The sequence below is a fragment of the Homo sapiens genome, chromosome 10, assembly GCF_000001405.40.
Source record: "Homo sapiens chromosome 10, GRCh38.p14 Primary Assembly".
Classification (NCBI taxonomy): domain Eukaryota; kingdom Metazoa; phylum Chordata; class Mammalia; order Primates; family Hominidae; genus Homo; species Homo sapiens.
In genome coordinates, this window is record NC_000010.11 from 131,521,850 (window position 1) to 131,547,521 (window position 25,672).

Genomic DNA, 25,672 nt, shown 5'->3' on the forward strand with positions numbered 1-25,672 from the left:
TAATCGATAATTTCTGAAAAATACCTACCACATTAATCATTCTTCAATGTTTTCAAACAGGGCCTATGAATGAAGATACAGCGTTGACTAAAAATGTTAAGTACTGTGATTGAGATCTGTGCCTGACACCTAATAATCTGAATAACTGTTAGCTTCTACTACGGCCACTGTCACTGCTACTACTACCAGGAAATAAAAACAACCCTGCTGAAATCAAGGGCCGTTGTGTCTCTTAGACCTATAGGTGTTTCTCAAAGTTTTAGCCTGAATAGACCACAGAGAAGGCACAGCCCACTGATTCTAAACTTTTAAAGATCTATTGCAATCCTAAAACAAATCAATAAGTAAAATTTGAGAATGTGATTTTAAAATAAGCAAACATGGTCTCTTAGCATTTCACCAGCATACTTACACGGTGGCAAAGGCACCTCTGTCCACCATTCTGAGTTTTTGTTCGAGCATTAATGTAAAGATAATGGAGTAATTTCTCAGTGGGGCATTCCCAGAAGGTGCACTGGTTCCAAATCATGGATTCCTGCAAAACTCCCTATGTACATCAGAACTTAACCTTCTTCTTTGTGACCTGTGGCAGCTTTTGCATGCAATTTTTAAATATGTTTAAAAATACATTGCATTGGCTTTCCCAGTGAATGAATGAAATTCTCACGTGCCCAGAAAGAGTCTTGATGACCGAAGATCCAGCTAAGTCTTCACACAATATTGGGACATCCAACCCTGCACATTAAACCCCACACAAAGTACCTTGTCCCACACAGATAGGTTCATGACAGGCTCAGAAAGTCCCAGGTTCTATGTGCACCACAAAGAAGCCCCACCCTAGTGAGCCCCAAAACCTCCAATGCTGGGGTCACCAGTGCAAGTGGCATATTCTGCTTCATCTCATTCACCGATGTGAGCTGTGCAGAGTGAAAAAGAAACACTGCTGTCTTTTCTGCCCATGCACTCAAAAGGTACACAGGCAATTTCTGATCAAAAAACTGATTTGGCATCATTGATTCATTCCTGTGACTTGGACAGATAATTCCTCAAATGTGTAACCACGGAAAATACAAATGTTTCAAACACAAATAGTACCACATGTGATGTAAAGATACATTTGTCAAGACAACCGCCTACCAACGGGTCTTTAAGCCACTGTAAACTGAAAAATATGTTCCATGTAACACATCTAAGCCTTGAAGCACACAATGACTTAAGTTTTTTGAAAAAGCATAGTTCTTTTATGAATATACAGTCTATACTCATAAAATATATGTGAATAATGCTTCTTCCTTTCTCTTTTTTTTTCCCTGAAAATACCAAACTACCTGGAAATTCATACAGTCTGGGCTCCCTTCAGTACGTGAAATCTTATTCAACTTTGGAGTATGATATGGTTTGGCTGTGTCCCCACCCAAATCTCATCTTGACTTGTAGCTCCCATAATTCCCACGTGTTGTGGTAGGAAAACAGTGGAAGATAATTGAATCATGGAGGTGGTTCCCGCATACTGTTCTCATGGTAGCGAATAAGTCTCACAAGATCTGACGGTTTTATAAGGGGAAACCCCTTTTGCTTGGTCTCTCCTTCTCTCTTGCCTGCTGCCATGTAAGATGTAACTTTCACCTTCCGCCATGATTGTGAGGCCTTCCCAGCCACATGGAATTGTGATTCCATTAAACCTCTTCCCTTTATAATTACCCAGTCTCAGGTATGTCTTTATTGGCAGCATGAAAACGGACTAATACAGAGTAAGAGACAAGACCCCACACTCCACCACCACTTACTTTCCCACGATATTAGCTGAGGTCCCAGACCACACAACAAGATTTTAGAAAACCAGCACATTAAGAGTAAACACAAAAAGAGACTAATGGATGGTTTCAGTATGGTATCTGAAAAATTTGGGGAAAAAATTCATGATGTAATATACTATACCTAAATTACATTAAATTAAATTTTGTATATTAAATGTACAAATTACATTCAATTTATGAGAACGATTTTTGTTCATTCATTCATTTATTGTAACTTGGTCTTTCCTGGTTGATATGGGTCATGTTTGAGACAAGCTGGGCTTAGCTGAGAAAAGCTTTGGGTTACTTCACCCTCAAGCATTTTCCCTTGAAACGCGTTGATTGACAAGTTAGTGATACTACGACACCAAAAGACGTATCCCCCTAGTGTAAATTAGTTTCTAAATCCGAGGCAGAGCTTCAACCTTAAAGTCTCTCACTAGTAAGTAGTACAAATTTAAAATAAGACAAAACAAGAATTATACTTTTTTTGAGACAGTCTTGTTCTGTCACCCAGGCTGGAGTACAGTGGCACGATCTCAGCTCACTGCAACCTCCACCTCCCAGGTTCAAGCAATTCTCCTGCGTCAGCCTCCCTAGTAGCTGAGACTACAGGCACACACCACCACACCTGGCTGTGTTTTTTTTTCTATTTTTAGTAGAAACAGGGTATCACTGTATTGGCCAAGCTGGTCTCAGACTCCTGACCTCAACTGATCCGCCCACCTCGGCCTCCAAAGTGCTGGGATTGCAGGCAGGAGCCACAGTGCCCAGCCTCTACTTTTTATGGAGCTAACAAATAGTAGCAATAGAAGGAAGCTTAGGGAGCTGAGTTTCAGAGGTCAAAGAGCCTTTCACAGGAAATGAGAGAACTGTGAACACTTCGCTGCCTGGGGCTGCAACAGGTGTGGAAATTTTGCAGACATGAAGGGCTGTCATCACAGCCTTGAGGAACAGTGTAAGTTGGTGAGATTGATTCATCATCTGCAAGAACTCCAGAGGCAAGGACAGATCACTCAGCCCCACGATTCCTCCCAATCACCTCCTACCTGAGTTTTGCCAAAAAAACACAGTAGCAGAGGAGCGGCTAGCCAGAGAGAAACTTTCTAATCCTGTTTCATCCTGTAGTGGCTGAATTCCATGGTTCTTTTGCAGTTGAATCCAAAGCAGAGACAAAAATATCTGAAACTGCAGGCAACCCCCTCCTGGATCAAATACTGGCAAGATCAGAAAATTGTGTGACAAGTTGGCTATGACAGTGAGCTCAATTTCGTTAAAGCAGAGACCCAGCACCACCTCAACTATAAGCTTGGAAATATGAAAAATCAGCCTAGAAGCCCCTGGGAAATAAGCAAAACAAAAAGCTACCCTTCAGTCTCTGCTTCACAAACCATGTCTATAACCAACTGAAAATGATAATGCAGCGTGCATGGAAGCCACACGTGTCCCCCAGAGTCAAACGAGACACAGTGAGTAGGAGCAGATCTCAATGACCAGCCAACAATGGTTAGAACCAGTCAACAACGGTATGAGAACACTTAGTGTAGACACATTACAGACTTTCCCAGGAAAGGTGGAGAGAAAATGTGGAGAGAGAATATTTCAGGAGAGAAATTGAAACTCTAAAACTAACTAAATGGACACTTAAAATTGAAAACACAATGTCTGAAAGCCAAAATGTACAAGATAATAGCAGAAAGCAGACTGGAAAAGCAATGACCCATGAAGTTAATGTCAATAGAAATCCAAGCTTAAGGAGAGAGAGAAGAAATAGATTGCACAAAAAGTGAACATACATGGAAGCATCAGTAAGAGCTCATGTTGAGCTTAACATAGATACAGATGGTTACAAATAGAAATACTTACAAACCTGTTCATCTAAGAGGATGAATAGACACTCATGTCTTGCTCTATCAGCTAACAAGTCCTAGAAGCAGTGACATCAGCCTAGTGATAAGCACACCTAGTTCCCAGATTTTGGTCTCTAATACCATTTTCTAGAAAAAGGAACCAAGCCTCCTTGGAGAAATGGCTTCTTCTAGGACAGGGACAGAAAATATGCAAGAAAAGTGTGGAGCACCTTTTAGTGCCATAAAGTACAGAAGAGCTCCAGCAAACAAACAAACAAAACGCACAAAGATGGGCGTATGCCAGAAGAATACAAGAACCAGCTAAAAGAACTCTCACAAAATAAAGTAAACGGTGTCATACTATCACCAAAAGAATAAAAATAAAGATGTAAACACATGATTGAATGAATAGATAAATAAATTGGAGAAGATAGAAATGTCTCTTTTATGGAAGATCTCCCATCTACAGTGTAACTCCCACTCCTTAAATGACCTTCTTCCAACAAGCAGTTTGAAAATGGAGAGAAAAAGAAAAGATTAACTGTGGTGCAGAAACCTGATAGACACCACCTCAAGCCAGATGATTGTGGTCACCATCAACAGTGATAAGTCACTTTGATAGCATGTGCCCTTGATAAGACGCAATGAAAATGGACTTTACCCCGTGCTCTTCCTCCCAAAAACATACTCCCCTAGTCTGATCATTAGGGAAGCATTTCTCAATTGAGAGAATTCTGCCAAATTCCTGACCAGTGCTCCACAAAACCATCAAGGTCATCAAAAACAAGGAAAGTTTGAGGCCGGGTGCAGTGGCTCACGCCTGTAATACCAGCACTTTGGGAGGCCAAGGCGGGTGGATCATGAGGTCAGGAGATCGAGACCATCCTGGCCAACATGGTGAAACCCCATCTCTACTAAAAATACAAAAAATTAGCCAGGCGTGGTGGCGGGCACCTGTAGTCCCAGACACTCGGGAGGCTGGGGCAGGAGAATGGCGTGAACCCAGGAGGTGGAGCTTGCAGTGAGCCGAGGTCACGCCACTGCCCTCCAGCCTGGGTGACAGAGTGAGACTCTGTCTCAAAAAAAAAAAAAAAAGGAAAGTATGAAAAATTGTCACAACTAAGAGAAGCCTATGGAGATGTGACAACTAAATGGAACATGGTATTCTGAACAGGATTTGAGGGCAGAAAAAAACATGAGGGGAAAACAGAGGTCATCTGAATAAACGGTGAATTTAGTTAATCATAACCTTCACTGTTTGTTCGTTAATTGCGTCAAATGTACCATCCTGGTGTAAGATATTAGTAATAGGACAAATTGAGGTGGGGTACATGAGAATTGTCTACACTACTTTTACAATAATTCTGCAAATCTAAAACTGTTCTAAAATCAATAGTTTATTTTCAAAAATCTAAAACATTGCTGGACAAAAGCAAACATAGAATCAGCACCATGTGGAGAATTTCAACCAGTCTACACTATGTAGAATTAAATTTCCAGAAAGCAAAAGAAGGTTAAGGCAGGGAAAAAAAAAAAAAAGCTATGAAGATGTACTTGTTAGAAATTTACCAAATTCATTAAGGAACAAAAGCGATCCACAAATTCCTGAAGCTTAATCAATGCCAAATGTGATCAATTCAAAGGAAACTACATCTAGACACATCAGAGTTAAACTGACAGAAGCTATAGATAAAGAAAAAAGTCTAAAAAGCAGCCAAATGAAAACTAGACACCTGCGCAGGAGAATAGTAAGAAGAGTGACTGCTGACTTCTCATCGGAAACCAGGCAGGCCAGAGGATGGTGAAATAACGGATTCAAAGAGCTGAAAATAAATTTTGCAAAACTAGAATTCTTTTTTTTTTTTTTGAGACAAAGTCTCACTCTGTTGCCCAAGCTGGAGTGCAGTGGTGTGATCTTGGCTCACTGCAACCTCCACCTTCTGGGTTCAAGTAATTCTCCTGCCTCAGCCTCCCGAGTAGCTGGGACTACAGGTATGCACCACCACGCCCAGCTAATTTTTGTATTTTTAGTAGAGATGGGGTTTCACTATGTTGGCGAGGCTGGTCTTGAACTCCTGACCTCGTGATCTGCCCTCCTTAGCCTCCCAAAGTGCTGGGATTACAGGTGTGAGCCACCGCGCCCAGACCAACTAGAATTCTAGATCCAGAAAAAAACGAAGATAGAATAAAGATATTCTTCAATAAATGAGGGCAGAGAAAATGTGTATCCAATAGACCCATAAGACGAAAAATACAAAAGGCAGCCCTTTGCCTGAAGGAAATAACAGTGTTGGAAGCAGGTTTGCAAGTTAGAATGAAGAGCACCCAAATATAAATACGGGGGTTAAAACTTTTTTTCTGGGCCAGGCACGGTGGCTCACACGTGTAATCCCAGCACTTTGGGAGGCCAAGGTAGGCGGATCACCCTGAAGTTAGGCGTTCAAGACCAGCCTGGCCAACATGGTGAAACCTCATCTCTACTAAAAATTACAAAAATTAGCTGGGCATGGTGGTGCAAACCTGTAATCCCAGCTACTCAGGAGGCTGAGGCAGGAGAATCGCTTGAACCTGGGAGGCGGAGGTTGCAGTGAGCCGTGATTGTGCCACTGCACTCTAGCCTGGGCAACAGAGCGAGACTCTGTCTCAAAAGAAAAAAGAAATCTTAATTACTTAGATGACAAGTGACTGTTTGTAAACTGATAATAATGAATAGCAATTTTTAAATTGGTTGAAGTAAAATCCATGACAATAATCACACCCAGGATACAGGCACAGGGAAGCATTGTGCTGCAGGCTTCCTACATCTTACACCCAGTGGTATGATGTTCGCTCCTCCTAGATCAAGACAAGTTCATATTATAACCATTACAGCAATGACTAAAATGCAAAAAGAGAATCTAATATCAAATCAAGAGAAGACAGTAAATGGAATGCTAGAACAGTGGTTAAATAATCTGCCAGAAAGCAAGAAAAGGAGCAACAGAGAAACCAAAAGCAAACGAGACAAATGAAAGAAAGGAGCGATGTGGCCGACTTCACACCACAATTACACTGAGTGCAAATGTCCTGAGCACCTCAAGCAAGGCCAACGTCGTCAGACTGGACTCAAAACAGACAAACAACAATGGCACAAAACGAATCGGATTCTAGCCTGCTACCAAGGCTAAAAGCGAAGGGCTGTGGGGACCCAGCCGGCAACACTCCCCAGAGCCCACGTGCTGCGTTAAGGGCAGAGCCCACGCCAGGCAGGAAGGCAGAGCCACATCTCAAGGATGAAACGGTTGATCATCCAGAAGATGCAACAATCCTGAGGTATCTGTTCCCAATACCTGGACTTCAAATCCACAAGCGAAAGTTGGCAGACACTGAGGGAGAATAGACAAATCCAAAAATAGAACAAGTAGAAAAAAATTAGGATTACAAAAGATTCAACCAACTAGTTTCACCCCACAGACGCTTTTCCCAGTGCATGCGCCACCTTCATACGATGCGTCCTGTGTGATCGTACGGGATTTTGTATGCATGAAGTTTAAAGCAGGCCAAACTAACCTACGGGACAGAAGTCCAAACAGAGGTTGCCTCCAAGGCTGAGGCGCTGGGGATGACCAGGAAGAAGCAGGAAGAATCCTTGTGGGTGATGGAAATATTTTATGTTGCGATTGGATTGTGGGTTACATGGGTGTATCTATCAAAATTCATTAAATACAAACTTAAGATTTATGTATTTAACTGTACATAATTTTAATATGTATAATATAATGTGATGTTGGTTTATAATATACAATATAATATAATAAATATAATATATCATATATTATATTATTGTATATGATATGAAAATCTTATCCAATTCGTATTATATATAATATATGATATATTATGATTATATTATATATAATACGAATTGGATAGGATTTTCTAAAACTCCACATTCAGGGTCTGACCCCTCTGAATCTTTCTCAAATCAGAGTCATTGATCTCTGTTTTCCAAACAATATCAGCCTCTGTGATGTCAGGAGGCTTGCAGAGGGACATTTCTCACAGGACACTAAGGGAGGCGCTACCCTCATGGGGTCTGGGATCCAATCCCCGCATCCAGTTCTGCAGAGCGAGCCTGGTTTGACTCCTGTTCACGGAATGCTGCTAAACACGTTGGATTCACCGCCTTCTCACCCTCCTCACACCATCCCATCTCCAGGGGTTCAAGGAGCCCAGCTCTGAGCATTGCCTTGGAGCCTCTGATGGCTGTTCTGTCAGGTTTGGGGTCGCTTGCGGATACCTGTGACTGCAACCTGGCCTGCAGCTAGTGTGAGATGTCACAGATTGTAAAAGTTAATGTGGAGAAAAAGAAGTCTCAGAATCAATGAAATACCAAAATATTTTTTAAAAATCAAAGTGCCTTTAACAATAACAGAGGAGAAGGCTGTTTTCTAGGGCCTGGGGCCAATGAGGGCAGGAGGAAGGGGAGGGATGGGGCGCTCAGCCTCCACCAAGGAGGACAAGCACCCTCAACCCAGCTGCCCACTCTGCTCCTGCCTCCAAGAACCCGTCACAGGTCATGCCAGGGGCCCATGAGGCTGGAAAAAGCACAGGTCTTCCCTGGGACCTGCTCGAAGGGCAGAGGAGCCCTCGCTTGGGACACTCCTGTTGCTATTGTTGAGTGGGAAGTAACTGTGCTTCCGTTGCCAGCACCCTCAAGGGGACGCACCTCCCTCCCTGCTGCGTGGTGCTGGACTCAGCCGTGCTGCCACTCAGTAGCCCGCACCCACCAAGGCCCATTTCCCCTTCAGCCCAAAGACAGTTCTCCAGGGAAGTCATCTTGGGCCCAAGCCAGAGGGAGGATGGGCTGAACCCTCGAGCAGGAGACCGGGCCATGGCGGGGAGACCACTGCACTGAATCCAAGGAGGATAGAAAGAGACCCCCTGCTTCCTGGAGGTGCCATCAGAGCCGGGGAGTGGCAGTTGTGCATCGGATCCCCATGGAACCTCGAGCAGGGGGTTGCTGGCTGGCACCTGGCTCCCTCCTGCGTTTTTCCTATTAGCTGTTTTGTTATGACTGCTGAGGCCAGCCAGTCATTTAAAGACAGCACCTAAGTCGGCAGCCTTTCTCCAGGGTACAGAACAGTTCTCTGTAAACCACACACACACCCTGGAAGCAGAGGAGATAGTCCCCAGCTCATTACATTTCTCTGGGCCCCACCATTCTGCCAATAATTGAAGCCTCGCCGACAGTTTTACAGTCACATGGACAAAGCAGGTGTCGCTCACCTGGAATCCAACTTCATTATTTACCACATCACAGAGTAAATAACAGGTTTCTGAGTCCAGGAAAGTGGGTAAACTCCTTGGAGCCTTTTCTGTGAATTGTCGATGTATACACTTTCTTTTGGCCGGTGTGGTGACTCACACCTGTAATCCCAGCAATTTTGGAAGCCAAGACAGGAGGATCACTTGAGCCCAGGAGTTCAAGAACAGCCAGGGAAACATAGTAAGCCCCCATCTCTACAAAAAAAAATAAAAATTAGCTGGGCATAGTGTCTCGTGCCTATAGTCCCAGCTACTCGGGAGGCAGAGACAGGAGGATCACCTGATCCCAGGAGGTTGAGGCTGCAGTGAGCTGTGATCACGCCACTGCACTCCAGCCTGGGTGCCAGAGTGAGATTCTAACCCAAAAACAAAATTAAAAACGAAAACTTTTCTTTTTTTAAAAAAAAATCCTGGTTCCAGCATGTGTGAACCTTTGTAAATCTTGTACCAAGAAGAGACACGTTCACGCCATTGAGTCTTAGAGCCCATGGCAGCCTTGAAGCCTTTTTCCACAAAGCCCCTCGATAAGGGAGGAGCATGCTGAGCTGAGGGAGGAGGGACTCATTCAAAAGGGTTCCAAGACAAATCCAAGACCAGGGACTGGGGGCAGGTGCAGACCCGCAGCCTGAGGACCCTGCAGCCACTGACAATGAAGGCAGAACCCGTCTTCCACACACCGAGGTCCCAGCCACCACTTCCACCATGAGTGGGTTTAGGGGGTGTTCCAGGTTTTTCCCTCCACACCCAGGGGGAGCAGTGCCATAGAGCAGTGGTCCCCCGCTCCCAGCATCTTCAGGAACAGCGTGGGGCTCTCCTGGCCCCTCTCCACACCACGCAGATGCCCCTCCTTTCCATAGCTGCTGTTCAGGGCTCACAGAGCTGCCCCACGCTGCATCCCTCTGGGGTGCAGGACATTACTGACCTACCCCGGGCCCGCCGTGTGGAGCTGCTGGCCGGCCCGAAGCCTCAGACCTGGAGGGCAGAAGCCGTGTTGCCCACAGGAAGTCTGGAGGCCTGCCCCGCGTGGTCTCATCACACCCTCCAGCTGGGCTCTCTGCCCCCGCACCCCGTGGCCCTGGCTGGATGGTGGCTGCCATGGGGTGTGTGCTTCTGCCTCCACCTGCACGACAATGAGCCCAGCTTCCTACCAGAGCCCTCACCCCCGGTCCAGGCTGGATCATCCAAACCTGCCAGAGCCCTCACCCCCAGTCCAGGCTGGATCATCCAAACACCTACAAGGATCTGCTCTTGGAGCCACTTGCGTCTCACACTCAAAATGCCCCGAATAGATTCTTGCGTCCCCTCAAGCCTATCTGGCCTCTGGTCCCACCATTGCTCAACTGCCACACCTGGGTGTCCTCCGTGATCTGGGCCATGGCCAGGCCCTCCTGACCTGCATCCCTAGCCTCGGCCCCTCCCCTCCCTCTCCCGGACCGCCCTGGTCATTTTCCTCGGGCATCTCTGCCGTCCCATCCCCAGCCCTGCCTGTCAGATCTCACCCTGTCAGGCCCCTCCCAAAGGCCCCCTATCCTCCGAGTGGCCCTGCCTTTCCTGCCCGCTGATCAGCTTCTTCCTAATGCCCTGGGGGAATATGGCTCCACGCATCCCATAAGCTTATCAAGGACGGGGTCTGTGTCTTCCCCGTTGCCTCAGGCCAAAGGCCCGCAGGTGCGCAGCTGCAGGGAACAGGTGGGCTGGGCCCCCACAGCGAGGCAGGTGTGCACTGCAGAGGCTGAAATGTGGGTCCCGCAGAGAGTGGTGGAGCCTGCTGCAGACCCGCGGCTTTGGTTGGGGTTTGGGGAGGACTTAAAGAAGCAGCGGTTTGTTCTAAGGCAGCTGCTGCCAGGAAGTCTGAGGGGCCTGAGACTAGACGTGTTGGAAAGAGCAACGTGACCTTGCTGGTGTCGGTGCTTAGAAAAAATTATGAAGTGGACCTGTGATGTGTCCGTTTATCACAGGCTCAGGGTGACCTGGTCTATTCCCAGAGGGCATTCACGTCCGACGGGAGAACAGCATGGCCCGCTGTGCACATCAGACCCCTGGTGACGACACTGTGGTCCACCGCAGCCGGAGTCAGGTCTGGACACAGAGGCTGCCTTCGTCTTTCTCACCTGTACCTGTGATTGAGTTGAGAAGGGAAACACGGTAGCTAACGCACAGCCCTGACTCCCATTCCCAGGGCCCTTGTGCTCACAGGGCGTATGTAATTCAGGCATGACCTTAACTGTCCATGCCCCTCACGTGGGTCCATGTGCTTGCAGGGCAGGCTATGTCCCGGGTGGCAGCCTGGGCTTGGCCGCAGGCCCCCAGGGCAGCCCCCGCTCTGCCGTGTGCCCCTCGCTCCCGTCCTCCCCTCTGCACAGGCGCTTCCCCATCTGTAAGTAGGAGGATTGCAGTATCTACTGGCACCGGCGAACTTGACTTTATTGGGAAAGAAAGGTCTTTACAGATGTGATGAAGCTCAGGAGCTCCAGAAGAGATAATCCCGGATTATCCAAGTGGCCTGACGCCCAATGACAGGTGTCCTCATGAGAGACACAGAGGAGGCTCGGATGCAGGGGAGAGGCCGAGTGAAGATGCAGGCAGAGATGCAAACACCCCGGCTATCCGAAGCCAGAAGGGACAGGGAGGATCCTCCCCTAGAGTCTCTGGGGAGCACGGCCTTGCACTCACCCTGGCTTCATGCTTCCACCTCCAGAACAGGGAGAATGAGCTTCTGTGGTTTTAACCCCTCGTGGGGTGAGGCAGCCCCGGGACACCCATCCACTGCCACCCAGGCTGCTGTGAGGAGCAAGGGGTGCGTAGATGTGGGGGACACTCATCTCCGCTCCCCACCCCTGGCGTAGGACCCCGTTGCTCTCTCCCTGTCATCTGGAGGTTTGCACTGGCCCCCACCCCACTCCACACTGGAGCACCTGCAGGCCGGGGGCACATAGGTGGTGCACACTGCAAGCCACAGGAAGGGCTGGGCCTGTCCACGAGACATTCCCCTAAACCTTCAAATTAACTCACGTCCAGAGTGCAGAGGCCATGTCTCTCCTGGACCCCCATGTGCATTTCCTTAGCACGCGACAGCAGCTCTGAGAAACGTGGGTTAAGACGCAATGGCCTGGAAGGTCCCAGAGCATCAGCCTGGCAGGGGCTGCAGACAGAAGCTCCAAGGCTAGGAGCATGTTCCAGGCCTGGCCTTGCTACCACAAGGACTGAAGGAGCAGAGCCCGCCGTGATGCCGCGGCCCATGGCTGAGAACTGGGGGAACACAACCCATCCCTCAAACCCGTGAACCGCGTCGCACCTCCAGACCTGTGACCTCTGCACATGCCGGGCAGCAGGATCACAGCTGTCAGAGCTATAGGTGTCCCAGGAGAAGGTGGTGCTGATACATCAGCACTCTGAACTCTCATGTTCAGAGAAGAGCATTAATAGATTTAAACCCCTCAACGTATAGCCTTTTGTTGTTCCCTACTCTAGCTCTAATTTTCCTTTTGCAGACTCATAATACAATTTATTAGTCATTGAGGTCAGTTTGGGCATGTGGGTTTGAGGCTGGCCGGTGAGTCAACGTAATCATCATTTTATCTGCCTCATATTCGGAATTTATAATAATCCAGACAGCCTTTGTCTTTTCCTAATTTGATCAATGAAAACCCACTGGGAGAGAGACAGTGTTTTAAAAAGCAATTGTTTAAATGAACTTGATATTTTTATTGCAAAAATACATCACAACGTGCTTTAAGGTTGAATTTTATCTCAGTAACCACATACATAATTCAAATGATTCATGGAGGAGCTAATGACAAATACTGTTGTCATTTAAATAATCTAATAAAAAGCTTATTAATGTAGGGAAAGATACCGATTGGGTATACACACTCAAAGTAATGTGTTCATTTGGGGTAATAAGTTGGATTCTGTCAAGTTTTGTTTTTTCTCACTCTGACGCCACCGGCATTTTTTACCTCTCCTTCTAGCTTCCCAGCTGGCTTCTTGACCACCTATAACCCAGGTCCAAGCACAGCCGGCAGCACCAATGCGGTCCCTGCCTCTGGTGGGGTCCTTCCCTGGCCTCACCTGGGCAGGTAGACAGACCTTTGCTCCCCACCTTCAGAGCAGCTGCTGCTTCCTGGTGGAGGTTCAGCTCGAGGGTCCGGGAGGTTAATCCACAGGGACTTCCTGCATACCGCCAACCACAGTCAGGGCCTGGGAGGGCCAGGGTCCCGTGTCCTCTGGACCCCAGGTCTGGAGCTGCAATGAGTAGAAGAGATGTGGGCCTCAAAGACGACCTCCAGGCCTGGGATCCTGTCCACTGGGACCCCTTTGGACATGTCCCACGACCTCTGAGAGGGCTGATTTTCTCCCCGGCATCACAGAGCCGGGATCCACCCTGGCCTGCCGTGGGTGCTAGGAAAGGAGGTGTGGTCCCAGGGGAGCCGGGCAGGTGCTCCCTGCATGGACAGTGCTTCTCGCATGCTCACCCCACTCTCCATGCAAACCCCCCCAGGGTCTGCCCTGATGGCAGACCTGCTGCCTCAGATCTGCTGGCAGTACCTGGACATATTAAATGACAAAGCTGAAATTTTAAAGATAAAAATTAATACAATGTATTAATAAAGCTAGGAGCCAACTTTAATAAAAATAAAACTTTCCAAAATTAGAAATTACAAAGGGAGAGAAAATAAATGCAGAAGGATATGAGAAAGAGGACATGGCCCCAGTTGCATGGATAAACCTGTGAATTGTTGGTGTTTAAAGTCTTGATGAGAAGCTTCATTTTTCAGGAAAACATGGCTCGCCAGCACTAATTCTCAGAGGTGGATGGCAATGCAGTGAGAAGGGACTGGCAAGTTTGTGGGGCGAGAAAGCAGCCCCCACACTCACGGCAGCACACGTCACTCAGAAATGAAGAATAACATGGAAAGAGACAAGTGATGTGTGTGCCCCTTACGCTGTTCCAGGGCAATAGAGTTGAAGAGCATTTCCCAATTTAACTTACAAAGCCAGCATGGAAATTGCAATCGAATCTCACAAGATACAGACAGGAGTGCTATACTCTCATCTCATTTATTTAGATCCAATATTCAAAATCGTGTGCGGTACGCACTCACACACAGGCACCAATATCACAACGGAGGGGAGATTCGCCAGCAGACTGCAAGAACTGGCAGGTATTGGCAAATACAGAAATATAAGCCATCCCAAGTAAGTTAAAATGTTTTGTTTTGTTGGTTCAGTTTATTTTAATGGACAATTAACAATCCTTTATACTTATAGCATAAAATGTGAGGTTTCAGCACGTGGGTAGATTGTGGAACGATCAAATCTGGATGATTAGCATCTCCAGTGCCTCAAGTATTCATCATTTATTTGTGGTGGCAACATTTAAAATCTTCTCTTTTTGCTATTTTTAAATATACAGTACTGCAAGCCACAAAGTATCTGAGACACGTCTAGGTCCATGCGGAGGTTTTTGTCAAGGTTGAGGCTGCACCTGGGAAAAGAGACACGAGGTGCAGTAGGGCCTGCAGCCCCCACTTTTTCCAAAGAGGGTTTTGAGGGCTTCAACATAAAGAGAAAAGCGGGCAGGAGGGGAAAGGAGAAAGAAACAGAAAGAGGGAGGGAATGATCACATTCTTGTGTGTGGCTTTATTTTTATTTATTTATTTATTTATTTTTGAGATGGAATCTCTGTCTGTCATCCAGGCTGGAGCGCAATGGCACGATCTTGGCTCACTGCAACCTCTGCCTCCTGGGTTCAAGGGATTCTCCTGCCTCAGCCTCCCGAGTAGCTGGGACTACAGGCGCCCACCACCACACCCAACTAATTTTTGTATTTTTAGTAGAGACGGGTTTTCACCATGTTGTCCAGGCTGGTCTGGAACTCCTGACCTCAGGTGATCCGCCCGTCTCAGCCTCCCAAAGTGCTAGGATTACAGGTGTGAGCCACCGCGCCCGACCCAACACTCTTGTGAATCCACATGTTGCAGGTGAAAGGAGGGGGTGGAGGACACAGTCAATCATGCATTCGTCTGGAGCTCCGTAAATCTGCGCTTTACATAAGCGGAAGTGGACATCGAGTGGAGGGAGCAGGCCACTACGCATTCATCACGAGGTGGGCAAGGTGCCATTTCTAGTCTGCTTCTGTCCTAGACCCATAAGGATGGGCGGTTAGTTTGCATTGCCAGGGTGCGGGAGGGCAGACATGGCCACCTATCTGAAGCTATCGGTTTAGGAACAAAAGGAAAGGCAGGGGTTTTTGTTTGTTTTTGGTGTCTCCACTTCCATGCTTAACTTTTCCCTTTTGGCATAGAGAATTCACGGTACTGAGATTGTATTTTCCTTTCACAATACATTAATATTAATTATAGTCAGCGTGCTGGGCCATAGAACACCAGAACTGATTTCTTCCGTTTAACCGAAAGTGTGCCTGTTGAGTAATGTCACCCCTTTCCCCACCCAGCCCCCACCCCCAGCCTCTGGTAACCCCCTTCTACTCCCTACTTCTGAGTCCGACTTTCAGAATTCTACAAATAAGTGAGATCATATGGTATTTGTCTCTCTGTGCCTGCTTTCTTTCACTCCTGGGTTAATCTATGTTGTTGCAAATGACAGAATTTCCTGTATTTTAAAGGCCAAATAGTATTCCCCTGTGTATACACCCCACATTTTAAAAATCCATTCATCCATGGATCAACAGTTTGATTGTTTCCATATCCTGGCAACTGTGGATAATGCTGCAATGAACATGAGTGTGCAGACATCTCTTCCCCACACTAATTTCATTTTCTCTGGATACACACCCAGAAGTGGGATTGCTGGACCATATGGTAATTCCAGTTTCTGTGTTTTCATGAACCTCCACAGTGTTTTCCAAATTGGCTGTGCTAATTTACATTCCCATCAACAGTGTGCAAGGGGCCCCCTTTCTCCACACCCTTGCCAATACTTGGTAGTTGTTTGTTTGTTTGTTTTTTGAGATGGAGCCTTCCTCTGTCACCCAGGCTGGCGTGCAGTGGGGAGATCTCGGCTCACTGCAACCTCCGCCTCTCATGTTCAAGCGACTCTGCTGCCTCAGCCTCCTGAGTAGCTGTGATTACAGGCACCTGTCACCACGCCTGGTTAATTTTTGTATTTTTGGTAGAGACGGGGTTTCACCATGTTGGCCAGGCTGGTCTCAAACTCCTGACCTCAGGTGATCCGCCCTCCTTGGCCTCCCAAAGTGCTGGGATTACAGGCATGAGCCACCGTGCCGAGCCACCATTACTTGTTATATTTCATCTTTTTTAATAATAGCCAGTCTAACGGATGTGAGGTGAGATCTCATTGTGGTTTTAATTTGCAGCTCTCTGATCACTGGAGATGTTGAGTGGTTGTTTTATGTATCTGCTGGCCATTTGTCTGTCTTCTTTTTTAGAAATGTCTACTCAGTCGTTGACCCTTTTTAAAGTAGGGTCATTTGTTTTCTTACTACTGAGTAGTTTAAGACCTTGTGTATTTTAGATATTAATCCCTTGTGTGATGTATGATTTGCAAAGATTTTTCTCACAATCTGTGAGTTGAGTCTTCATCCAATTGTTTATTTTGCTGTGCAGAAGCCTCATCGTTTGATGCAATCCCATTTGTCTATTTTTGCTTCATTGCCTGTGCTTTTGGGTTCATGCCCAAAAAATTCGCTACCCAGTCCAGTGTCAATGTCACACAGCTTTTCCCCGCATTTCATTCTATTAGTTTTTCAGTCTCAGGTCTTCTCTTTGAGTCTTTAACCTGTTTTGAGTAGACACGTGTATAAGGAGTGAAAAGTGCATTTGATGTGTCACAACATTTGTAATTGATTTTTAAGCTCGTAGCAAGCTAAACATAAAAACAAACTTTCTTAACATGACAAAATATATTCATCTGAAATCAGATACCAGCATCTTAATTCTAACCATGAGGAACAATTAAAATCTGGAATAAGGCATGGGTGCCCATCATCACTAAAAGCCAATATAATTATGAAAATACCACCCAATGCAATGAAAAGAGTAAGTTAAACAAGAGCATGAACAGTAGAATGGAGAACAGAAAATGTGGATATTTAAGGAGGAGATGCATGTCTGCTTGTAAACCCCATAAAAATGTACTGAATGTGTACAAAAATAATAGCTTTCCTTGATATTAACAGCAAACAAAACAATAGAATGGAAAAATGCATTAGCAACAACAATAAATAATACATTACTTGGCTAGTATATATGTATCTATGTATACATATATTTATATATCATGTTATTTTTAATTGTGGAAAATTGGAAATTTCTAAATGCTAATATGTGATTCATTAGGCACATTTTGCTATGTTGTCAGTTAACTGATAACAATGAAATACAGACATACACTTATTGATGTGAAACATGCTTATACTATATGAAATAAAAAATATTTAAAACAACATAATATGCAAGATGTATTTTCCTCTGTCTCTTTTGTAATGCTTAGAAGGATGTAAACCAAATATTAACCATGGTAATAATGGCAGATTCCTTCATCTCTTTGCTTATGCATAAATTTTTCAACATTAAAGATGCACCTCTTTTGTAACTAAAAATAATTTTAAATGAGCAAGACCAATCTATTCAGGCTGTAAAAGTTTATATAGAAAACACTAATGTAGGCAGAAATAATGTGATGTTGCACCTAAAATTTTATCTAGTTTTCAAATTATTTATAGCAACACTTTTATATATAATGTTTGTTTTAAGTGGCCTTATTTCACTTTGATTCTTTAATAAAAGAGGTACTAATGATTAGAAAACGGAAACATCCATTGCAGTGAATCCGTAGGACTTGGAACTGCAGTAAAGAGCCGCCAAGCCTCCCACAGCAGTGGAGGTACAGGGGCTGCAGACCTGCCGCCAGGCGAGCACTTCCCAGACTGTGGATAACCTTTTTCTTTATTTTTTCTTTCTTTTTTGTGAAAGCATCTCTCTTTGTCACCCAGGCTGGAGTGCAGTGGCATGATCATGGCTCACTATAGCACTGGCCTCCCAGGCTCAAGTGATTCTCCCACCTTATCTTCCCGAATTGCTGGGACCACAGGTGTGTGCCACCACAATTCACTAATTTTTGTATTTTTGGTAGAAATGGGGTTTGCCATATTGCCCAGGCTGTTCTTGAATTCCTGAGCTCAAGCAGTCTGCCCACCTTAGCTTCCCAAAGCACTGGGATTACTATTACAGTCATGACCCTTCCTTCCTTCCTTCTTTCTTTCTTCTTTTTTTTTTTTTTTTGGAGTTTCACTCTTGTTGCCCAGGCTGGAGTGCAATGGTGTGATCTCAGTTCACTGCAACCTTCACCTCCCGGGTTCAAGTGATTCTCCTGCCTCAGCCTCCTGAGTAGCTGGGATTACAGGCGCCTGCCACCACGCCTGGCAAATTTTTGTATTTTTAGTAGAGACATGGTTTCATCATTTTGGCCAGGCTGTTCTCGAACTCCTGACCTCAGGTGATTGGTCCACCTCAGCCTCCCAAAGTGCTAGGATTACAGGCATGAGCCACCACACCCAGCTTCTTTCTTTTTCTTTTTTCTTTCTTTCTTTCTTTCTTTCTTTCTTTCTTTCTTTCTCTCTCTCTCCTTTCTTTTCCTTTCTTCTTTTGTTTTTGTCTTCTATTGTTTGTTTGTCTTCAAGATTTAAAACAATTGTAAATAGCCTCATATCTACGACCATCTGATCTTTGACAAAGCTGATAAAAACAAAGATTCCCTATTCAAAAAATGGTGCTGGGAGAACTGGCTAGCCATATGCAGAAGACTGAAGCTGGACCCCTTCCTTACACCACATACAAAAATCAACTCAAGGTGGATTAAAGACTTAAATGCAAAATCCCGAAGTTTTTAATTCATAAAAAAATTAAACCTTAACATTAAGAGGGAAAAAAAGATCTCAAACTGCACAAACAGCCTAAGCTCCACCTTTGATAAAGAGACGTGTGAGTGTACACACCTGTGGATATGCAGATGCTCCTACACATGGCTTCAGATATGACTCTCAATTCATGCACCCGACATGTGGAAGGCCCCGATTTCTCCAACACAATTCCGTTTGCCAAGGCCCCCCTCCCCCTCCTCAGATGCAGGAATTGCTCACCTCTGTTTTCTTTGGGAGTCTCCACTGGGTCAATGAAACAGTTTTTAATCTGGGGAAGACCACTTCCCTTCATGTTCTGATCTAATCTGTCACTGTTTGGTCCTTTTATCTGGCATTTTGTCTTTTCTATTTAATTCTTTCCTCTCAAACTTGTCTAAGGTAAATACCATATCTGTGGTGCAGTGAGCCATTTCCAGTTTCCTTATCCATTGGCTGAGACAGAGCACCTCTTCATTCCTTGTTCTTCTCTGAATGGATCTTTTATTAGTCCATTTTCACCCTGCTATAAAGACATACTCAAGGCTGTGTAATGTATAAAGCAAAGAGGTTTAATTGATTCACAGTTCCACATGGCTGGGGAGGCCTCAGGAAACTTACAATCCTGGCAGAAGGGGAAGAGGCACGTCTTACATGATGGCAGGCAAGAGAGAGTGAGCAGGAGCAGGGAAAACTGACCTATAAAACCATCTGATCTCATGAGAACTCACTGACTATCATGAGAACAGCATGGGGGAAACCGCCACCTCCAATCACCTCCCACCTCTTCCCTCCCTTGACGCCCATGAGGATTATGGGGTTTACAATTCAAGGTGAGATTTGGGTGGGGATACAAATCCAAACCATATTATTCTATCCCCGGCCCCTCCCAAATCTCACGTTTTCACATTTCAAAACACAATCATGCCTTCCCAACAGTCTCCCAAAATCTTAATTCATTTCTGCATTAACTCAAAAGTCCACAGTCCAAAGTCTCATCTGAGACAAGGCAAGTCCCTTCCACCCAGGAACCTGTAAAATCAAAAGCAAGTTAGTTACTTCCTAGATACAATGGGGGTACAGGCATTGGGTAAATGCTGCCATTCCAGATGAGAGAAATTGGCCAAAACAAAGAGGCTACAAGTCCCAAGCAAGTCTGAAATCCAGCAGGGTAAAACTACTAAATAATCTGTTTTGACTCCATGTCTCACATCTAGGTCATGCTGATGCAAGAGATGGGCTCCCATGGTCTTGGGAGCTCTGCGCCTGTGGCTTTGCAGGGTACAGCCAGCATCAGCCAGAGGACGTGACTCTCCCTTCCCCATCATGGTGCACCTTTGGGACACTTTAATCTGACAGGAGAACATGCATTGTGGCCCTGTCCCCTGTGTTCTGAGCACATGCTTGTCCCTTTGCTATGACTTCCGTGGCCCCAAGTCCCTTCCACCTCCCTGGAGCCTCTCAGAGCAAGGGCCTCCCTAATAAGGGGTGCTGAGATGGTTTGGCACTGTGTCCCCACCCGAATCTCATGTTGAAGTGTAATTCCCAGTGTCAGGGGAGGGACTTGGTGGGAGGTGATTGAATCACTGGCAGATTTCCCCCTTGCTGTTCTCGTGCTAGTGAATGAGTTCTTAGGAGATCTGGTTGTTTAACAGTGTGTGGCACTTCCCCCTTCTCTCTCTCTCCCTCTCTCTCTCTCTCTCTCTCCCCTGTTCCACCATGGTAAGACATACTTGCTTCCCCTTCACCTTCCACCATGATTGTAAGTTTCCTGAGGCTTCCCCAGCCATGCTTCCTGTACAGCCTGAAGAACTGTGAGCCAATTAAACCTATTTTCTTTATAAATTACCCAGTCTCAGGTAGTTCTTAAGAGCAGTGTGAGAATGGACTAATACATGTGCTCTTCTGTACACCCATTTCTTTGGGAAGCAGAATAACTCTCCCGCGCCTTATTGTGGTTGGTCTTGGAGTTCTCTGGTTCCCATTTAAAACCAAAGCTCATCTCAGCTGTGCCATGTTATCCACATTCTAAGAGCCTGTCATCGTGGGCTTCTCTGTGGGAGTCTCCTGACCACCACTTCCTTGGAAATGCATGTACTGTGCCTGTCAGGGCCCACGGCCCAGTCTGCATCCCAGCCAAGTGTGCTGAGATAAGCTCCTGAGGACCAGGGGTGGGTTGTCCCCTCAAAGGGGCCTGGGTCTCCTGGAAGCCCACAGGAGTCTCCATTCCCCTGCAGGACCAGCTCACTTGCCTGGGTCATCGTCATTCTGCCTCAAACCTGAGCAGCAAAAGTGCCAGCATCTTGTCAAGGGGAAAGCGTTGTGCTAATGTCTGGGACTGCTGTCAACAATCTGGGTTGAAATCGGAGAAGAAAGTTCAAGGGACTTTGCTTCTCCTGCAAATGACACAGAAGGGGAAAGCTCATGGACATGGGAAGGGCATTTGCAGGAGCAGAAAATTAAAAATAATAACAGCTTTCACTCCTGGAAAATGAGAAATTCACAAAACCCTCTGAGGCTGCTGAATGCTCAAGTGCTGTTACGATAAACTGGTTGATGATCAGGCAAAGTGCTTATTTTTAAAATGCCAAGTCTTGGTCACAACACCATGGAAAATACCAGCAAATGCATCCATTCATGTACTCATCAGAGACCGTGCATGGGGTGCTGGGGACGGAAATGCGTGCCTCATCCAGCCTGTTGAAGGTCCTGTTTGCTCCGAGTGAAGCCAAGTCGAGTTTTACTCCTTGGCAGGAGCCATAGTTTCTGTTTTCCTTAAGGACGGATATTTTGAGAAGCCACATATAACTTCACTGATCTTCTTAGAAACAAGCCCACACTGCCCAAGCAAAGTCTCAAAACAATGCACAAATTATAAGCTGATCAAAGCGAGTGAACCATGGCTGCAGAGAGACAGGAGTTACTGAGGGTTGCAACGTAGGCACCTAGCAGTGAACAGAACTGGTCATTTTCAGTAAGTTAAACAAACAAATGTGTTTTTTTCTATCAGTTAAGATGGTAAAATACTTTTACCTTATGTAATTGCTTTGTGGTGGTTCTTCACTATTCTACCAGCCCACCCCTAAAACAGCCTGCTTCCAGGCGGTGATGGGGAGACCAAGTACAGTCCAGGAAAGCAACAGTTACCTAAACAAGATACATTTCAAGGCAAAAGGAATTAAGTTAAACAAAGACTAAAGCAGTGGATGAAGGATCAGCCGTCTCTAAATCTGGGGTCTGCCGTGTTTTTTGCTTTTACTAAAGCAAATGCAGGTTCTATATTTCCACTCTTGTAACGGTAGACTTTATCATACCAACAACAGAAATTAGTGACTGGATACTTTTGAATTAGATGATTTCACTTCAAGGAATACCTTTTAAGCTTCATATACAGAGACAAGCCTACGTAGAAAAGCAGACAGTGAAATTACTTAAATCTGTGAGCATTACGGGACTTGAATTTTGCCTGTGTGTAAGGAAGAACGTGTTAGTTAACGCGTCCAGTGGGCGCTGTGAGGACCCACAGTAAAAGCCTAGTAATAGAACACCACATATCATGTGGCTTCTAAGACGTACGCTTTTAAGACCAGTAAAAAAAAATCATTTTAGAAGTTTTATCTCTTTAAATTAAAAAATTGATCTTGTCATTCTCTGTAGCAAGCAGAAGCAGCATCAGGACAGTTGAAGGGAGGCCGTGAAATGAGGCTGAAAGGCAAAGAAGATTGCAAAGGAGATGCTGCTGGAGTGTGGAAAAGGGGAAAAGGAGAAATTTCATCCAGAAGTCCCAATGTGCACATTCCAGAGACACGCCGCCCCTGCAAAGCTCTGTGAACAGAGGCAGGATCTGGGCTCTGTCCACAGACAGGTCCAGGACACACGTGCATTTGCAAAGGAGAAGCGGGTCAGCTCTGGTTGGCCCCTCACTGACAGTGGACCCCTTCTGGACGAGCTCCTTAAAACTAGAAGGGCAAACAGCAGCTGGGCATCAGCCTTGTGGGAGAGGCGGCACCTCTAGCTGCCCGAGAGGCTGCGGGGCCAGGAGGCTCAGAGGGCACCAGAGAAGTATGGCCCACATGCTGGTACACATGGAGCAACAGGAAATGCAGGCCTCCCCCCAGGGCCCCTTCCAAAGAGGCTCTGTGTGTGGTGTTGAAGGGACACTGCGCATCTCACTCTTTTTTTTTTTTTTTCCCACAGAGTTTCGCTCTTGTCGCCCAAGCTGTAGTTGCAATGGCGTGATCTCGGCTCACTGCAGCCTCCACCTCCCAGGTTCCAGCATTTCTCCCGCCTCAGCTTCCCGAGTAGCTGGGATTACAAATGCCTGCCTAATTTTTTTGTATTTTAGTAGAGACAGGATTCACCACGTTGGCCAGGCTGGTCTCAAACTCCTGACCTCAGGTGATCCACCTGCCTCAGCCTCCAAAAGTGCTGGGATTACAGCCATGAGCCACCGTGCCCTGCCACATCTCAGTCCTTTACTTTCCTGTTGCGTCAGTCCAAAGCGCTCACATGACTCGAGGAAATGAGAACACGGCTGAGCTCCTGCTCAAGCCCCTGAGTCCCACAGGCAGCCCCGGCACAGCCGGTGGGCCAAGTGTGTTTAGGGCCCAACCTTCATTGCACTGCGTTAGCTTTGGCTTGTGGATGAACAGCATCACCTTGACTGCACATCGGTAATCACAGGTGGATGAGAGAGACAGGGCGGGGTGCAGGACCCAGCAGCCAGCTGGGGATTCCGTCCCCTCTGCAGCTGGGAACCTCTCCCCGGAATACCTGGGGCCCACAAAGGCAGCTGAGCCACGATAAGAGTTTGTTGGTTCACTTCCATTAATCACAAACATCTCAGAACGAGCTAGAGACTTGTAAGGAAAGCTGCTTCCTGGCGGTTTTATTTTAGTGTCTATCTTTTGAAAAATTCCCAAATGGGAACAAAAGTAAGAAACTTAAAAACTTACAGACATCACATTCAAAATGCACAGTGAATCACACACTTGAAACTAATGAGCCCGCAGTAGATGTGGTCCTGAGCTGACAGCAATGACACAGAGTGTGCCACAAAGCATAAAAGCTGTCCTTCGGAGATGAGAGCTGACAGTTCACATAAAGTACGATACTTTTTTTAAAAGAGCCAGCATCAGTCAAATCAGTCATAAGCAAGAGCCCGACAAGTCCTCCGGATAAAGTCTTTTCCTTTCTGTGGAAAAGAAATCAAAGGCAGCGGGATATATTAGGAACCCCTGTTACCCTAAATAGATGCGAGAGTCAAAGCCTGTGAGCTCCAGCCTGGAACTCACTCACTTCTGAGCTCCGGACTCAGATATGCCACTGCCTTGGGGGATCTTCCCTGAATGCCTGCAGGAATCTCACATTCAACACGTGCAGAATGGAGCTATCTTTCTCCCAGATCGGATGGGGCCCAGGCGCTCCCCCTCTAGAAATCTCCCCACTATTGCTGAGCAGATGAGCGCCAAGCCACGGAGTGTCCCATCCTCCCTGGAGGTCAGTCTTATAGATTCTGCACTCACTGCATCTCCCACCTCTGCCCCTCCTCGGTGTCTTCCCTGCCAAGGACGGCACCCCCCTTCCATGTTCCTTCAGCCAGCCCTGCCAACTGTTCTCATGCCCGGTCACAGGTCCCCTCTTCAGCATCCATCGGACAGTGCCCTGCCCTGCTTGCACCCCTGGGAGGGGAAGCACACAAGTCCCAGGGCATCTGGCCCTGCCCCTCATTCCATCCTCCCACCACACTCACCCTCCACCTTCTCCACAGGCACAAACCTCCCACTGGCTGCCCCTGGCTCTGTGCAGGAATGCATGCTCATCCCCTGCCTAGGAGTCCTGTCCCCCTTTTGTCACCAGCAGCTTCAGGTAACTCAGCTCAGGTGTCACGTTCCTGGGAGCATGACTCATAGCCTGTTCCATCCCCACTGCAATGGGTTGGCAATCGCAGCTTTGACAGTGCCAGAGCCACAGGGAGGTGTGGCCAGGATGCCATGAGCCCTGGTCAGCAGGCACACAGTCAGGTTCAAACTCGAACTCAAAGGGCTGGACACAGCAGTGCCTCACACATGCAGTCTGCAATAAATGCTGGTGGAAGTTCGGACGGACAAGGACATGTTAGCTGAACTCTCTTCCCCCAGCCCCCCTGATTCCGTAATAGTGACAAAAGATCCAGGCAAGGAAGTTTAGACATGATAACAACCATGTCCTTGCAGTGTCCCCAAGAGTATTACACTCAGTGTCAAATGCTGCTACATTAAACAAAGACCACAGGTAATTCTTGCAAAATGTGTTAGTGTAATCATGGACATTCAAAAGAGTTATCCTTCTAATTGAAATATATCAGAAATGGGAAGATTTTGCAAATACTTTAAATTGATCACGAAGATAAAAATCTAATACAACACTGCATACAAATTCACTTTCATAAGCAACAAAGAAATTCTGATTTATTATACAGACCCAAATCCATCTCTCTGCTTTTTATGAAAACAAGTGATGACCCTCTCCTCTGGATACTTGTCCTGCAAAGAGGCAGCATTGTACTGTCCATCTTCACCCTTTGCTTTCCAGAAACTCCTCCATGGATTCCTGAAGGTCTTGGTCATGCCTCTGCTGTGGCAAGCTGGCATTCTGATTGGCACTGGGAACTCTCGCTCTGCTTGAAATGATGGTACAGTCATGCAGGCATCTGTACTGAAGAGGAGTCAGTGCCAGGCCCATGCCAGGACAGGGTGTTCAAAGGTGGGCAGGGAAGATAGAGTGCCCACCTAGAGGGATATGTACAACGGGGTGACAAGCAGAGCTCTGCCACATGACACAGTGTGTCAAGGTTGGTG

General features: G+C 46.3%; 4 annotated features.

Annotated features, from left to right (window-relative positions):
• Positions 7,870 to 8,370: an enhancer, noted in NCBI's record as "H3K4me1 hESC enhancer chr10:133327982-133328482 (GRCh37/hg19 assembly coordinates)". NCBI's record gives its function as "activates a minimal SCP1, AML or CMV promoter by ChIP-STARR-seq in primed H9 embryonic stem cells {active_cell/tissue: H9 hESC(primed)}" and the evidence as "EXISTENCE:reporter gene assay evidence [ECO:0000049][PMID:30033119]".
• Positions 9,424 to 10,187: an enhancer, noted in NCBI's record as "H3K27ac-H3K4me1 hESC enhancer chr10:133329536-133330299 (GRCh37/hg19 assembly coordinates)". NCBI's record gives its function as "activates a minimal SCP1, AML or CMV promoter by ChIP-STARR-seq in primed H9 embryonic stem cells {active_cell/tissue: H9 hESC(primed)}" and the evidence as "EXISTENCE:reporter gene assay evidence [ECO:0000049][PMID:30033119]".
• Positions 24,021 to 24,578: an enhancer, noted in NCBI's record as "H3K27ac-H3K4me1 hESC enhancer chr10:133344133-133344690 (GRCh37/hg19 assembly coordinates)". NCBI's record gives its function as "activates a minimal SCP1, AML or CMV promoter by ChIP-STARR-seq in primed H9 embryonic stem cells {active_cell/tissue: H9 hESC(primed)}" and the evidence as "EXISTENCE:reporter gene assay evidence [ECO:0000049][PMID:30033119]".
• Positions 24,579 to 25,135: an enhancer, noted in NCBI's record as "H3K27ac-H3K4me1 hESC enhancer chr10:133344691-133345247 (GRCh37/hg19 assembly coordinates)". NCBI's record gives its function as "activates a minimal SCP1, AML or CMV promoter by ChIP-STARR-seq in primed H9 embryonic stem cells {active_cell/tissue: H9 hESC(primed)}" and the evidence as "EXISTENCE:reporter gene assay evidence [ECO:0000049][PMID:30033119]".